This window comes from Homo sapiens, chromosome 2 (genome assembly GCF_000001405.40).
Source record: "Homo sapiens chromosome 2, GRCh38.p14 Primary Assembly".
NCBI lineage: Eukaryota > Metazoa > Chordata > Mammalia > Primates > Hominidae > Homo > Homo sapiens.
In genome coordinates, this window is record NC_000002.12 from 932,390 (window position 1) to 947,955 (window position 15,566).

At 45.2% G+C, this 15,566-nt stretch overlaps 1 annotated feature.

The window, feature by feature from the left end:
* Positions 4,751 to 5,631: an enhancer, noted in NCBI's record as "H3K4me1 hESC enhancer chr2:932826-933706 (GRCh37/hg19 assembly coordinates)". NCBI's record gives its function as "activates a minimal SCP1, AML or CMV promoter by ChIP-STARR-seq in primed H9 embryonic stem cells {active_cell/tissue: H9 hESC(primed)}" and the evidence as "EXISTENCE:reporter gene assay evidence [ECO:0000049][PMID:30033119]".

Sequence of the window (15,566 nt, forward strand, 5' to 3'; positions counted from 1 at the left end):
TGTGGAGGCAGAGGCCTGGGCACGGATGCTGAAGGCCGCCCCTGGGGGGCATTGTGGAGGCAGAGGCCTGGGCACGGATGCTGAAGGCCGCCCCTGGGGGGCATTGCGGAGGCAGAGGCCTGGGCACGGATGCTGAAGGCCGCCCTGGGGGGCATTGCGGAGGCAGAGGCCTGGGCACGGATGCTGGCAGTGAGGGAAGAGTGCCCCCTCCTTCTGAAGAAAGCCCTCCCTGACCACATCGATCACACTGCCGGCGACTCCACATGGCCTCCAGACTGCAGACAATTATCTCTTCAGAATACCATCACCAAATCATGGCTCTTAGAAATTACTGGAAAACAGGAAGACTTGTAAACGTGACTTTTGTTGTGCAAATCTGGTCACATTATCTATTCGAATGCTGCCGGCAACACTCAAAGAGATATTTCCCTTCTTTCTCTGAAGTAAGGAAAACTACTTCTCTGAACAAATTTTTACAAGGACTTAATTTCACACTTAGCAATGCCTTGTCTTCATTAACGTTCTTTAGGCCATTTGAGAGGATAAAGCTAAAGCGTCTTAATGAAGCCGCCGGCTCAGGAGCTGGCTGAAAGCAGCCGCATTTACAGCCTCAGCCAGGGAAAAGTGCCTTCAGTGCAGACCTGCGTGGGCCTCCGCAAACAATTCCCAGGCAGCGCTGCGGGGCTCTGGGACTTGGGAAGGGCCCAAGCGCGATTATTTCTAGAATTTTCCACATTGTAAAAGCACGGTTTCTTCAAATCACCCTCCCCTAGAGAAAGTGCTGACCCAGGGAACGAGTTTCCTTCTGATTTGTGCGTTCCATATCCCTGCCATGTGCCACACGGCACTAACTGATGATAAATAAATTCCCTGTGCGCTGCCCGGACAGACTCTACGGTCAGAAACACGAAAAGCAGCTAGCACAGATCAAAGATAAAGAAGACAAGGTCTGCTCAGCAAAGTGGTGTTTCAAGTGAGTTCTTTCATTAAAAAATAAAGAAAGTGGGCCGGGCGCAGGGGCTCACGCCTGTAATCCCAGCAGTTTGGGAGGCCAAGGCAGGTGGATCACTTGAGATCAGCAGTCTGAGACCAGCCTGGCAACATGGTGAAACCCCATCTCTACTAAAAATACAAAAAATTAGCTGGGCGTGGTGGCACATGCCTGTAATCCCAGCTACTCCAGAGGCTGAGGCAGGAGAATCACTTGAACCTGGCAGGCGGAGGTTGCAGTGAGCCAAGATCACACCATGGCACTCCAGCCTGGGGACAGAGCGAGACTCCATCTCAAAGAAAAAACAAAAAACAGGGTATACTCTGTGTATCTCTGTGTATTCAGCATATACTCCCAAGAACGCAGGAATGAGAAAGTTCAGTTAGAATCACGTTAAAATTCGCGCTAATACCTACTGGCTCAGGGAGTTACAGCCCACGGGCACCGTCTCACCTCTCGTTAAAGGCTCCCCATCCGCTATGCACCTCCAGGACTTTGCAGAGTGGAGAGGGGCGTCCCCAACCCTGGCAGGGCCTGTTTCTTGGCCATTCACAGCTTGAACAGGCAGCTTCGCTGCTCCCTGAAGCTGTCGGCTGAGGGGCCCTGTTGCCTGGGCCACCAGCCACACTTAGAACCCCTGGCGATTACAGATGCTTCCCAGGCTGGTCCTTGTTCTGATCCTGCAAATTGGCTGTGGACCTTTCCTCTAGTGTCCCCAGAGCGCTCCATATTCCCAGCACTTCCTGAGATAAATGCTTTAGCTTCTATACACGTCAACACACCCACGTCAAATAGAGGGGGGGTGGCCCCTGCACGTAACCCCGACACAATCTCACTGTAACAAATGTCCTTAAATTCCATTTGTCTTTTATTAAACTAACACTTTTATCTTAGCAAATAAGACTGTCTGCAAGGTCCTAAAATTCCATCTCTCTGCTTGCTCTAATCCACAGTTTCATAGTCTGTGTGGCAGGAAGGAGAGGAGTCCATGGGGGTGAAGTGCAGCCAATATTTTAGTTTGTAAATTAGATTTGTTGCCAAACACACCATGCTCAAGATTGAAAGAGTCTCAGAAAGGTTTTACTTTTTAGATTCATTAAACCATGCATGCTGTTTTTAAGGACTGGCCTTATCTTTTACCAGATTTAGGGAGGGAGACCAGAGCTGAAGAAAAAATTTCTTCTTCATAAATAAGACAAGCATATGGTTCAATTGATTTGACACCAGAACATTAACAGGTTAGCTCCATTTTTTTTTTTTTTTTTTTTTTTTGTGAAACAGAGTCTTGCTGTTGTTGCCTGGGCTGGAGTGCGGTGGCACTATCTCAGCTCACTGCAACCTCTGCCTCCTAGGTTCCAGCAATCCTCCTGCCTCAGCCTCCCAAGTAGCTGGGATTACAGGCACCCGCCACCACACCCAGCTAATTTTTGTATTTTTAGTAGAGACAGGGTTTCACTATGTTGGCGAGGATGGTCTTGAAATCCTGACCTCAGGTGATCCACCCTTGTCGGCCTCCCAAAGTGCTGGGATTATATGGTAGGAATATTTCATTATATTTAGAATATTTATTATCAAATATTTACTCAACACCCACTTTGTCCTACGTTGGGATCTATAAATACAACCAGAGGCTAAATCGGGCCCGTGGGCTTTCCTGTGTGATTCTCAATTAAGAACGTTTGATATCAGTGATCCTTGATGCATATATTTGTCTCTTTTCATGCTGCTAATAAAGCCATACCCAAGACTGGGAAATTTATAAATATAAAAGAGGTTTAATGGACTTACAGATCCACGTGGCTTGAGAGACCTCACAATTACAGCGGAAGGTGAAAGACACACTGTCTTCCATGTGGCAGCAAGAGAGAATGAAAGCCAAGTGAAGGTGGAAACCTCTTGTAAAACCATCAGATCTCATGAGACTTATTCACTATCACGAGAGGCAGAAACCCCTCATAAAACCATCAGATCTCGTGAGATTTATTCACTATCATAAGAGGCGGGAACCTCTTATAAAACCATCAGATCTCGTGAGACTTATTCACTATCACGAGAGGCGGAAACCTCTTATAAAACCATCAGATCTCATGAGATTTATTCACTATCACGAAAGGTGGAAACCCCTCATAAAACCATCAGATCTCGTGAGATTTATTCACTATCACGAGAGGTGGAAACCCCTCATAAAACCATCAGATCTCGTGAGATTTATTCACTGTCACAAGAGGTGGAAACCCCTCATAAAACCATCAGATCTCGTGAGATTTATTCACTATCACGAGAGGCGGAAACCCCTCATAAAACCATCAGATCTCGTGAGATTTATTCACTATCACGAGAGGCGGGAACCTCTTATAAAACCATCAGATCTCGTGAGACTTATTCACTATCACGAGAGGCGGAAACCTGTCATAAAACCATCAGATCTCATGAGATTTATTCACTATCATGAGAGGTGGAAACCCCTCATAAAACCATCAGATCTCGTGAGATTTATTCACTATCATGAGAGGCAGAAACCTCTTATAAAACCATCAGATCTTGTGAGATTTATTCACTATCATGAGAGGCAGAAACCTCTTATAAAACCATCAGATCTCATGAGATTTATTCACTATCACGAGAGGTGGAAACCCCTCATAAAACCATCAGATCTCGTGAGATTTATTCACTATCACAAGAGGCAGAAACCTCTTATAAAACCATCAGATCTCATGAGATTTATTCACTATCACGAGAGGTGGAAACCCCTCATAAAACCATCAGATCTCGTGAGATTTATTCACTGTCACAAGAGGTGGAAACCCCTCATAAAACCATCAGATCTCGTGAGATTTATTCACTATCATGAGAGGCGGGAACCTCTTATAAAACCATCAGATCTCGTGAGACTTATTCACTATCACAAGAGGCGGAAACCTGTCATAAAACCATCAGATCTCATGAGATTTATTCACTATCATGAGAGGTGGAAACCCCTCATAAAACCATCAGATCTCGTGAGATTTATTCACTATCATGAGAGGCAGAAACCTCTTATAAAACCATCAGATCTTGTGAGACTTATTCACTATCACGAGAGGCAGAAACCCGTCATAAAACCATCAGATCTCGTGAGATTTATTCACTATCATGAGAACAGTATGGCAGAAACCCCTTATAAAACCATCAGATCTTGTGAGATTTATTCACTATCACGAGAGGCAGAAACCTCTTATAAAACCATCAGATCTCATGAGATTTATTCACTATCACGAGAGGCGGAAACCCTCATAAAACCATCAGATCTCGTGAGATTTATTCACTATCACGAGAGGCGGAAACCCCTCATAAAACCAACAGATCTCGTGAGATTTATTCACTATCACAAGAGGCAGAAACCCCTCATTAAACCATCAGATCGTGTGAGATTTATTCACTATCACGAGAGGCAGAAACCTCTTATAAAACCATCAGATCTCGTGAGACTTATTCACTTTCACGAGAGGTGGAAACCCTCATAAAACCATCAGATCTCGTGAGATTTATTCACTATCACGAGAGGCGGAAACCCCTCATAAACCCATCAGATCTCATGAGATTTATTCACTATCACGAGAGGCAGAAACCTCTTATAAAACCATCAGATCTCGTGAGACTTATTCACTTTCACGAGAGGTGGAAACCCTCATAAAACCATCAGATCTCGTGAGATTTATTCACTATCATGAGAAGTGGAAACCCCTCATAAAACCATCAGATCTCATGAGATTTATTCAGTATCACGAGAGGCGGAAACCACTCCTAAAACCATCAGATCTCATGAGATTTATTCACTATCGCAAGAGGTGGAAACCCCTCATAAAACCATCAGATCCCGTGAGATTTATTCACTATCATGAGAACAGAACAGTATGGAGGAAACCACCCCATGATTCAACTATCTACCAGTGTCCCTCCCAAAACACGTGGGAATTACGGAAGCTACAATTCAAGATGAGATTTGGGTGGGGACATAGCCAAGCCGTATCAATGCATAATCCATTGCTACACCACACTGAGGCTTAGAACAGCACCCGTTTATTATCTCACAGTTTCTGGGGGTCAGGAGTCCAGGCCTGGCTCAGCTAGGTCCTCTGCTCAGGATCGTAGAGGCCCTTGAGGGGTCCACGGGGCTGACTTCCCATCAGCAGGCTCCACAGGGAAGGACCGGCCTCCCTGAGACCCGGCTGCTGGCAGAGTCCACTCCCTCCCTGCTGCACAGCTCAGCCTCAGTGCTGGCCGCTTGCTGTCCCCAGCTGGCCCTGAGCAGTCAGTCCTGCCCACAGCCCCACAGCGGATACATATCACAGCCGCGGCATCTTCACAGCCAGCAGGACGGAGTGGGCTCCAGGGAGACCTGCGTCCCTGCTGTCGTCACCCTGGCGTCTTCTCTGAGTCAGGAGAGAGTCACGGGAGCCACCCGATCAGGGAGAGGATTCCTCAGGGGCATGAGCTCCGGGAGGTCGGAGTCATTAGGGGTTGCCTGGGAGTCTCTGAGCCACAGAATTTTACATTTTTAAAGGGTGGTGAAAATGTCATTTAAAATTAAAGAGAATTATATGTGACAGAGACCCTATATGTAAACACCCCTCGGGCTTCAGAGAGAAACCTGTACTGTTGCCTATGAAAAGGAACACAGGTTCACTAGAGAAAAGATGTCCTTTTATTCCTAGAAAACATTGTTTGTTTCACAGCCTCCTACTTATCAGAATGGACTTTGAGGGTGAGGTCTCTTTAAGAACTGATTCCCACTCTCTCCCTTACCCAGAGTGAAGAGAATGGGTGTGAAGAGAGCATGAAGAAGCAAGGCATACGGGCAGGACTCATGCTACCCTGTGCAAACTGGGATGCTGCAGAATCTGGAGGACAGAACAAGGGCCCCTCCAGCTCAGGCCAACCTCCCAGTTCACAGGGCAGGATGCGGCCTCATGAGGCCTTGCGGCAGCGCAGACCCCAGGAAGCCAAGAGATGGAGCTCGTCAGTGTCCACGCCTGCGGCCGAGGGCAGGGTGCCTGTGGGAGACTGGAGCTCCTCTCCTGCCTCCCTCCGGACTCTGAGCTCTCGTCCTGCTGGGCTGGATTTGGTTGTAGATACAGGGTGCAACCCCATCCCCAGATACCATAGCACGTCATGCCACACGCCCACGCCTTTCCATAGCCAGCTCCCATGAAATTGCAAACCACTGAAATGTACTTCCTTCTGGAAACTCCCCCCACATTCCCAAAGCCTGGATGCCAGGGGTTTCCTGTGACACCCTGCAGGACCTTGGCTTTTCCCACATACAGGATGGCTGTGTGATGTGTCTTTATATATCATTCTCTCTCCCTCTCCCTTTCTAGTTAAAAAACACCAGTGAAGGGCAGGGCTCTGCCCGCGATGTTTATTGCTGTGTCTGCAAATCCTAGCACAGTGTCACACAGAAAAAGTGAATATATCTGTTTGTGAATGTGTGTATATGTGCATGCGTGCCCGTGTTCACATGCATGTACATGTGGGTACCTGTGTGCATACGTGTGCACATGTGCATGTGCAGATGTGTTATGTGTGTATGCGCATGTCAATACGCATATGTGTGAGCAAGTGTGTCCATGTGCACACGCATGCATGGGTGGGCACGTGTTCCTACGTGTGTGCGTGTGTGAGCATGCCTGTGTATGCTCAGGTGTACACTGAATCAACCAAATGCTCTTTGGATTGAACAACAGGGCCTCACAGAGTTGCCATCTATTTTGTCTGAAATACCTGATCTGCCCTTTGGGTCCCAAGCCCCAGACGGGGCTAAGTCCAAGGGACAATTGCTGTGGTGGTTAATAGGAGCTGTCAGCCTGACTGGATTGTGGAGGCCTGGTGGCCGGCCATGTGTTGCTTTTGAGTGTATCTGTGAGGTGATTCCAGAGAGACTGACTGAAATTCAGTGATCTGAGATAGGAAGACCAGCCCTACATGTGTGTGGCACCTGGGAACCCAGCTGGACAAAACAGGGAGAAGAAAAAGAATTTGCTCTCTCTCTCTGCTCTCTCTCTCCATTCCAGGGCAAGGCCCCTTTCTTCCTCCTGTCCTTAGACATCAGACTCCAGGTTCTTCTGCTTTTGGACTCCTTAGGGCTCCCTGGCTTTGGCCTCAGACTGGGGGCTGCGCTGTCTGTTTCCCCAGTTCTGAAACTCCCAGACTTGGAATGAGCCAGGCTGCCGGCTCTCCTGGTTCTCCAGCTGCTCCGGTTCTTCAGTTCCTCTGGTTCTGCTGCGTCTCTGGTTCTGCTGCGTCTCCAGTTCTGCTGTATCTCTGGTTCCCCAGCATCTCTGGTTCTCCAGTGTTTCTGGTTCTGCTGCTTGCATCAGCCTATCTTGGAACTTCTCTGCCCCTGTGATTCTGTGAGCCCATTACTCCTCATCAATCCCTTTCATGCAATTGATTCTGTCAATTGTGGAGAAGGACATTCCAACGGGAATGAGCTTATTAAATATCATGAACATGGTACCCCGTGTGTGTATGTGTGTGTGTGTGTGTGTTTAAAACCTCTCTCTCTCTCTCTCTATCTATCTATCTATCTATCTATATATATATCTATATATATATCTATATCTATATATATATATATTTAAGGGGGTTGGGGTTGTAGGGAGATTTTTTTCCAGAATTCTGGGTGGCCCTTCACCAGGGCTCTGACTAGCTGATGGGAAATCTCAGTGTGAATAAGAGAAAAGCCTTCGCTCTGGAATTTCCTCCTTCCGCAGAAGGCACGAGTGTTAGTCAGAGTTCTCCAGAGGGACAGAATTGTGGGCAGTGTTTCTCTGTATTTTTGAGTATCTGCATTTTCTCATTTTTCTTCCAATATATTATTTAGAAAGAAAAAAATGGAAGATGAGTTTGTCATCAATAGCAACAAGCTTCGTGTAAAGACTGATGTAACTTACAAATGAATCCAAATGTACTCTCTCAGTAACGTCTGTTTAATAAATCAAAATGTGAAGAAGTTACTCAACTATGGATAACAATGTGTCTTAATCAACCCAGGCTGGAATAACAAACCAGCATGGACTTGTGGCTCAAACAAAAATGCATGACCCCACGGGCCTGGAGGCTGGAGCATGAGGTCAGGGTGCCTGCGTGGCTGGGTCCTGGTGAGGGCCGCTTCCTGGCCACCTTCTCACTGTGTCCACACATGGTGGTCAGAGGAAGCATGCTCCCTGGGGTCTCTTCCTATAGGGCACTGATCCCATCACGACGGCCCCACTCCATGACCTCATCTAACCTCATCACCACCCAAAGACCCCATCTCCAAATACCATTATGCTGTGCAGAGGGGCTTCAACATATGAATTTGGGGGGGACCCCTATTCAGCCCATAGAAAGGCAGGCCAACCCCATCCAGGGGTGTGAAAGGGACAGGACATTTTCAGAATAATCCATTGGCATCAGGCACAATGAAAATGTGAGAGTACAGACAGCAATGAGGAGGGCCTGGAATGCTGAATTGCTGGCACTTGGTGAGAAAGTTGGAATAAATGCAGAGCCCGAAAGAGCTTTGTCCAGATGGGAAGGTCAGCCGTGTCCTGGAGGCATCTTCCCCAAACAAATCTTCTACGTTTTCTTTGTTCACCTCTCTATGCAACCCTAGTAGCTTTTCCTGTGTTATTTTTGAGAAAATGTATCCCAAACACCTACTGAGCATCCAAATGTTTTACAAAGATATCAGTGGGGATTTGCAAGGGCGTGGAATCTTCAAGGCACTGAGATGCTGCAGATAATATATTGTCCATTTCACAGTGCTGATGTCCCCTCCATCTGGTAAAGATAAAACATGCCACTAACACAGCCCTGCAGCCACACGGAAGACTCCCTAAGCACAGGAATACACATCAATCCTGCTTCCCACCGGATCCGTACCACCTAACACACCTGTCAGCACACCGTGGTTACTTCAAAAGTATGTGATGAATTAATGCATTTTTTTTTTGACACAGAGTCTCACTCTGTCACCAGGCTGAAGTGCAGTGGTGTGATCTCAGCTCACTGCAACCTCCACCTCCTGAGTTCAAGCGATTCTCCTGCCTCAGCCTCCCAAGTAGCTGGGACTACAGGTGCGTGCAACCACGTCCAGGTAATTTTTGAATTAATGCATTTTTAATATTGTCATTTAAGTTCTGAATTTTTCTAAAATTGTTCTCCTACTTTTATTTCAATTCTTGTAGTTTAGCAATACTTAGCAATCAGCCTTGAAAAGCATGGAAAGAAACCCCACGTGTTTACTCAGCAAATATTCACTGTGAATTTTTTTCTGTGCTCGTCACGTGCTGATTAATGAGGCCAGAAAGAAGAATACGTGGGTCATAGGACCCCAAAGACAGGGTTTCCTGAGGAAATCAATGTGCAAGTGAACAATTACAGCACAGACGAAATCTCAGTCTGTGACAACTCAGTCCTTAGGTTCCTTAAGAAATTGTGCACGTATTGAGCCAAAATGGCTCCCTACCTGCACCCAAGGCCCTGGAGGGAAGCACTGGGATGCCCGGCATGGAAGGCAACACCTGCCCGCAGAGAGCCTGGCACGTGGGTGTCTCCGTGGGTCCTCCCCCTGCCCACCAGAACCACCAGTGCCCTCGGCTGCCGCTGCCAGATGGGCCCTCTCACTGGCATCTTCCCAAGCACCTGCTCCCAGCAAAATAGGAGACATGAGGGAAGGAAAGGGTGGCAGGGCGGGAGGCGGAACTCCAGAAAGTCGTCAGCATCGCGTTTCTCATTCCGCGTTTGTGGATGAAGTGTCCTGATTGCTTGCCCCTGAGGGCTTATGTTTTCAACATGCTACGTGCTTTCTGTTTGCTTTTTCTACCTTCCTTGAAAGCTGTTGAAAATATGTGATGAGGTCATACATATAGGACATAGTTTGGATGTGCATGTTTATAAGGTCAACAGTTTCAAATAGTCCAAATTTAATATTTGTATTTTTTATTTGTAATTGCATTAAGTTGAAGTGAAAAATTCATATAGATTCCTCTATGTTGATGATTTCAAATAAAACTATACAAACCATTTGTAGTAAAGTCACACCTAGTACTGAGATAAAACTTCTGTTTCATAAGGTTTTCCAAATGGAAGATTGTTTAGATTTCAATAATGCTAAATACATTTCACATCGATTGGCTACAACTTGCAAAACACCTTTTGGTTTTGGGAATGTTTTTCTAACATTTGACTCCATGTTCTACAGCAGTAAAATATAAAAGAAATAATTTCTCTGAAACACTTTCTTTATGACCATGAGAAGGAGTGTGAAGAAACTGGCTGTAACCACTGACACCAAAGGCTTGGGAGTGTTCTGTTAAAATGAAACACCTGATGTCAAAACATGATGAAGCCAAGATCATTATCATGATACAAACAATGAGCGTGTATTAGAGTAACAGGCAAATAACCAAGGGGTTAGGGACATTTTCCACTGCGTGGAAGTAACTTCAGTGACATCACACAAAGGTTTTAAGAGCAAAGTGAAGACTTTAACTTGCTCCAGGTGAACAAAAGAAGCAGAACATGGTCTTCCCACAAACAAGGAAAATGAAAACCTGTTCCCCACGTCTGAAATGCTGATCTGAGGAATAATAAACAGAAAAGCACAGGACTTCAGCTTACTCTGTTCCTGCCAAGTATCATAAACTAAATCAGCACTCAATTATCCCTTCCAAAAAAACATAAAACATGTTTCCAAATTGGGAAGGTCAACTGTTATTCAAAAGGCCTTAAGGTTGTTGTCAGTTCTGAGTAAATTCAACTCCAAATTCAACCATTTGGAAAATTGTGAGCACTGAACTGGAAAAGCCATCCATGCGTTTGGGAATCTGTGCTCATCGTGCGTCCTAATCAATAAAGCTGTTCAAGGGCAGCGCAGGCCGAATCCACGGCCCCAGTGATACATCTCAGAACTTCAGAGATGAGCTTCTGCTCGGAGGACTGACAGATGGAGATTTCCATGGAACCATTAAGTAACACTGATTTTGAACAGAACCTAACACCAGGGTGAGGTGCATGGCTATTGTCACCTAGACTTGGGATTGTTGCCAGAGAGGGACACGCATTCTTCTCCAGGATGTTGACTGTCCTCATCTATAAGATAGAAGAAGAAACTTCACTCACCGTAGTGGGAAGGCCATGCTACCACTATTTTAGGAATTTCCCCACACTCCCGACTTGAGAAGATGACGTCACAGTTGAGGCGCTCTCTCCCCTGTGGGCCATGTGGCCTTTCTCTGTCCCAAGTGTCCCAGTGTTTGTAGTACCAGTGAGACCATTAGGAGTCATAAAATTGGGTACAGTCTCACTGTGCTCCTCCTGCTGTTGTTATGGGATCTTTGGGGTATCGATTTTCTGGCTGGAAACCTCTATGGCTGGTGGTGCCTTTGCCTGAGTTCTTGTCCTGTGTACAGAAGAATGAGGCACACAGACAAGTGGAAGGTGAGCAAAATGAAGAGGAGCTTTACTGAGTGTTAGAACAGCTCAGAGGACACCCGCAGGGGGCAGCTCCTCTCTGCAGGAAGGTCATCTCATTGAGTGTTCAGCTCTCGGCAGAGAGAAGGCCCTGGAGAGGGTGGCTCCTCTCTGCAGCAGTTCCTCCTGTTGTCTCTCTGCAGCTGTCAGCAGAGAGGGTAGCTCTTCTCTGCAGCTGGTCGCCCTGCCATCTGTCTGTCCTCTGCCCTGCTCTGGCTGAGTCTGGGGCTTTGGAAGGAGATGTGTGTTGGAGCCACTCTAACAGGTGTGAGGTGACATATCATCATGATTTGATTCACATTCCCCTGATGATTAGTGATACTGATGCTGACCACATTTTTATATACCCGTTGGCCAATTGTATGTCTTCTCTTGAGACATATCTAATAAAGTTTTTGTCTTGTTTTTTAATCAGAATACTTAGATTTTTGCTATTGTTTGAGTTCCTTATATATCCTGGATAATAGACCTTTGCCAGATGTAGAATTTGCACATATTTTCTTCCATTCAGTCAGTCTTTCCTTCACTCTGTTGATTGTTTCTTTTGCTGTGCAAAAGCTTCATAGTTTTTGGAATATCATTTGTCTATTTCTGTTTTTGTTGATTATGCTTTTGAGGACTAATCCAAAAAGTCCTTGCTCAGTCCAAGGTCATGAGGTGTTCACCCTATGTTTTCTTCTAGTAGTTTCATAGTTTGGGGGTCTCACATTCAAATATTTAATCTGGTAGTTTCATAGTTTGGGCGTCTCACATTCAAGTATTTAATCCATTTCGAGTTGATTTTAAGTGGTGACAGATAAGGGTCCAGTTTTATTCTTTTGCATGTGGCTATCCAGTTTCCTCAGCACCATTTATAAAGGTGGTCCTTTCCCCACTGTGTGTTCTTGGTGTCTTTGTCAAAAATTACTTGATTGTAGATGTGTGGATTTATTTCTGGGCTTTCTATTCTGTTTCTTTGGTCTGCATGTTTGTTTTTATACCAATACCATGCTGTTTTAGTTACTATAGCTTTGTGGTATATTTTGAAGTCAAGTGGTGTTGTCACAGGGTGATCTCCAAAACTGGGGCTCAGCCTAGGAAGCCAAGTGGGTTCTTGCTTTAGCACAGGAAAGAACTCAAGAGTGAAGTGGCAGAGAAAAGCAAGAGCAAATTTATTAAGGAAAAAAAGGAACAAAAGGAGCCACTCCACAGGCAGAGCAGGGCAAGACTATAGGAGGGTATTTCCAGGGTTGCTTCTAGCTGGCTGTCTTAGCGCGATTTCTTCATTATATGTTAGACAAGCGGTGAGTTATTCATGAGTTTTCAGGGAAAGGGGTGGGGAGCTCCTGGAACTGGGGTTTCTCCCCCTTACAGGGTAACTTCCGGGCATTGCCATGGCATCTGTAAACTGCCATGGTGCTGGTGGGCATGGCTTTCATATGCTAATGCATTATAATTAGAGAAATAATAAGCACTGAGTAGGACCAAAGGTCATTTCTGTTGCCATCTTGGTTCTAGCTGGCTTTAGCTGGTTTCTCTACTGTCTCTGGTCTTATTAGTGGAGTCATGTGACCTGTTGTCTTGGTAAACAAGTCCAGCTGAATTCTTATTTCAGCGTGGGCTTTTGTTTCCCTCAAGATTGCTTTGGCTCTTAGGCTTTTTTTGGTTCCACAGGAATTTTAGAATTTTTTTTTTCTATCTCTGGGAAGAATGACATTGGTATTTTGATAGGAATTGCACTGAGTCTGTAGATCACTTTGGGTCATATGGACTTTTTAACAATATTAATTTTTCCAATCCACAAATACAAGATATCTTTTCATTTATTTGAGTCCTCTTCGATTTCTTTCATCGTTTTATAGTTTTCAGCACAGAGATCTTTCACTTCCTTGGTTAAATTGATGCCTAAGTATCATTTTTTTTTTGTAGCTACTATAAATGAGCTTGATTTCTTTTTCAGATTAGCCACTATTCATGTATAGAAACTCAACAGATATTTGTGTGTTGACTTTGTGTTCTACAACCTCACTGAATGTGCTTATTAATTAGTTCTAACAACTTTTTGAAGGAGTCTTTAGGGTTTTCTATATGTAATACCAACTCCTCTGCAAGCAAGGACAATTTGAATTCTTCCTTTCCAATGTGGTTGCCTTTTATTTCTTTCTTTTGCCTAAGTGCTAGGCTAGGACTTCCACTACCGGTACAGAATAGAAGTGATGAATATACTCTGTGCAGGCGTGAGAGTGCTTTTGATTTTTTTAGGAAACATTTGTTAAGTACTTAATGGAAATGGCACATTATTTCTGCAAATTACTCTGAACAGGTTTCATGGAAAGTAATCTGCATATAAATAGAGAGAAGCTGAGTATTACCTGGGACTTGAGTGAAAGATCAAGGGCACAGCAGCCCCAGCTATGTGCGGTTTCACTTTCTGTGGTCCCAGGTGCCTGTGGTCAACTGCAGTCTGAAAATATTAAATAAAAATTTCCTGAAATAAACAGTTCATAAGAGTGAAGTTGTGCCCTGAGAAGCATGGCAAATCCTCACACCGACGCCTTTGTGCCTCTCAGGATGTAAGTTGCCCTCTCAGTTCATAAGAGTGAAGTTGTGCCCTGTTCTGAGAAGCATGGCGAATCCTCACGCCTTCTCTGTCCCATGAATTCACTGTGTGCACCACACATCCTGACACTTAGTAGCTGTCTGGGTTATAAATTGACTGTCCAGGTAGCACAGTGCTTCTGTTCAAGTCTTGCTTAATTTATTCAGTATTGGCCCCAAACACAAGACTAGGGCAAAGAGAAGCCATAAAGTGCTTCCTTAAGTGAAAAAGTGAAAGTACTCACTTTAATAAGGAAAGGAAAAAAATGTATGATGAAATTGCTAAGATTTCCAGTGTGGTAAGAATGAAACTTCTAGGGGCAGAAAAACTAGTTACAGAATGGTAACCAAGTGTGAAACAGGAAGGTAATAGGTCTTCCTTGCAGAAATAAGACTATGCCTGGAGGGGGAATAGGTTCAGTTAGCAAATCAAGCAATATAAAGGATGTTCCCACAAGGCTGTCAGTCCAGAAAGTATTTTAAGTTAATTCGAAAATGAAACCCAGCTGCGCATGGTGGCTCACGCCTGTAATCCCAGCACTTTGGGAGGCTGAGGCAGGCGGATCACCTGAGGTCTGGAATTTGAGACCAGCCTGGCCAACATGATGAAACCCTATCTCTACTAAAAATACAAAAAAATCAGCCTGGCGTGGTAGTGGGCGCCTGTAATCACAGCTAATCAGAAGGCTGAGGCAGGAGAATTGTTTCAACCAGCGAGGTAGAGCTTGCAGTGAGCCGAGATCGCGCCACTGCACTCCAGCCTAGGCGACAAGAGTGAGACTCTATCTCAAAATAAATAAATAAAATAAAAAATAAAAATAAAAATAAAAATAAAAATAAAAAAGAAATCATGCTAGTTTTGCTATCACATTTCAAACTGCAAACGTTACGGCTGCAGTGAGTGATAAGTGCCTATTTAAGACGGAAAAGACGCTGAACTTGTAGGTAGAAGACATGAGCGGAAAGGTGTTCCCACCGAGGGCACGTCAGCGCAGAAAGCACAATCCCATGGGAAGACTTCAGCAGTCAGTCCCCCAAAGTGAGTGACACTGAGCCATTCATGGCAAGTGAGGCATAGCTACACTGATTTAGGAGTGGGCTTGTCACGAAACCAAAAACCAAAAACCAAAAAACTGGAGAGGCTGTGTTTGCCAGTGAAGAAGCTGCTGCCATATTTCCGGCAGAGTTGAAGTTGATTAAAGGGAAAGGATGCCATCCAAAGCAAGTCTTCAATTGCAGTGAGACCAGGCTCCTCTGGAAGAAGATACCCAACAGAACCTACGTTCTTGAAAGGGCAAAGAAGGCCCCAGGGCATAAAACACTGAAGGGCTGATTTACCCTGTGCCGTGTGCAATGCTGTAGGACGTGTGGCCAAGCCAGGTGTGCTGCACACACAGAGGAACACTTATGCTCAAAAAACAAACGTTACCTGCTTGTGTTCAGGCAACATAACCAGAAAGCATGAGTGGTAACCACCATGTTTATGGAAGGGCTCCAC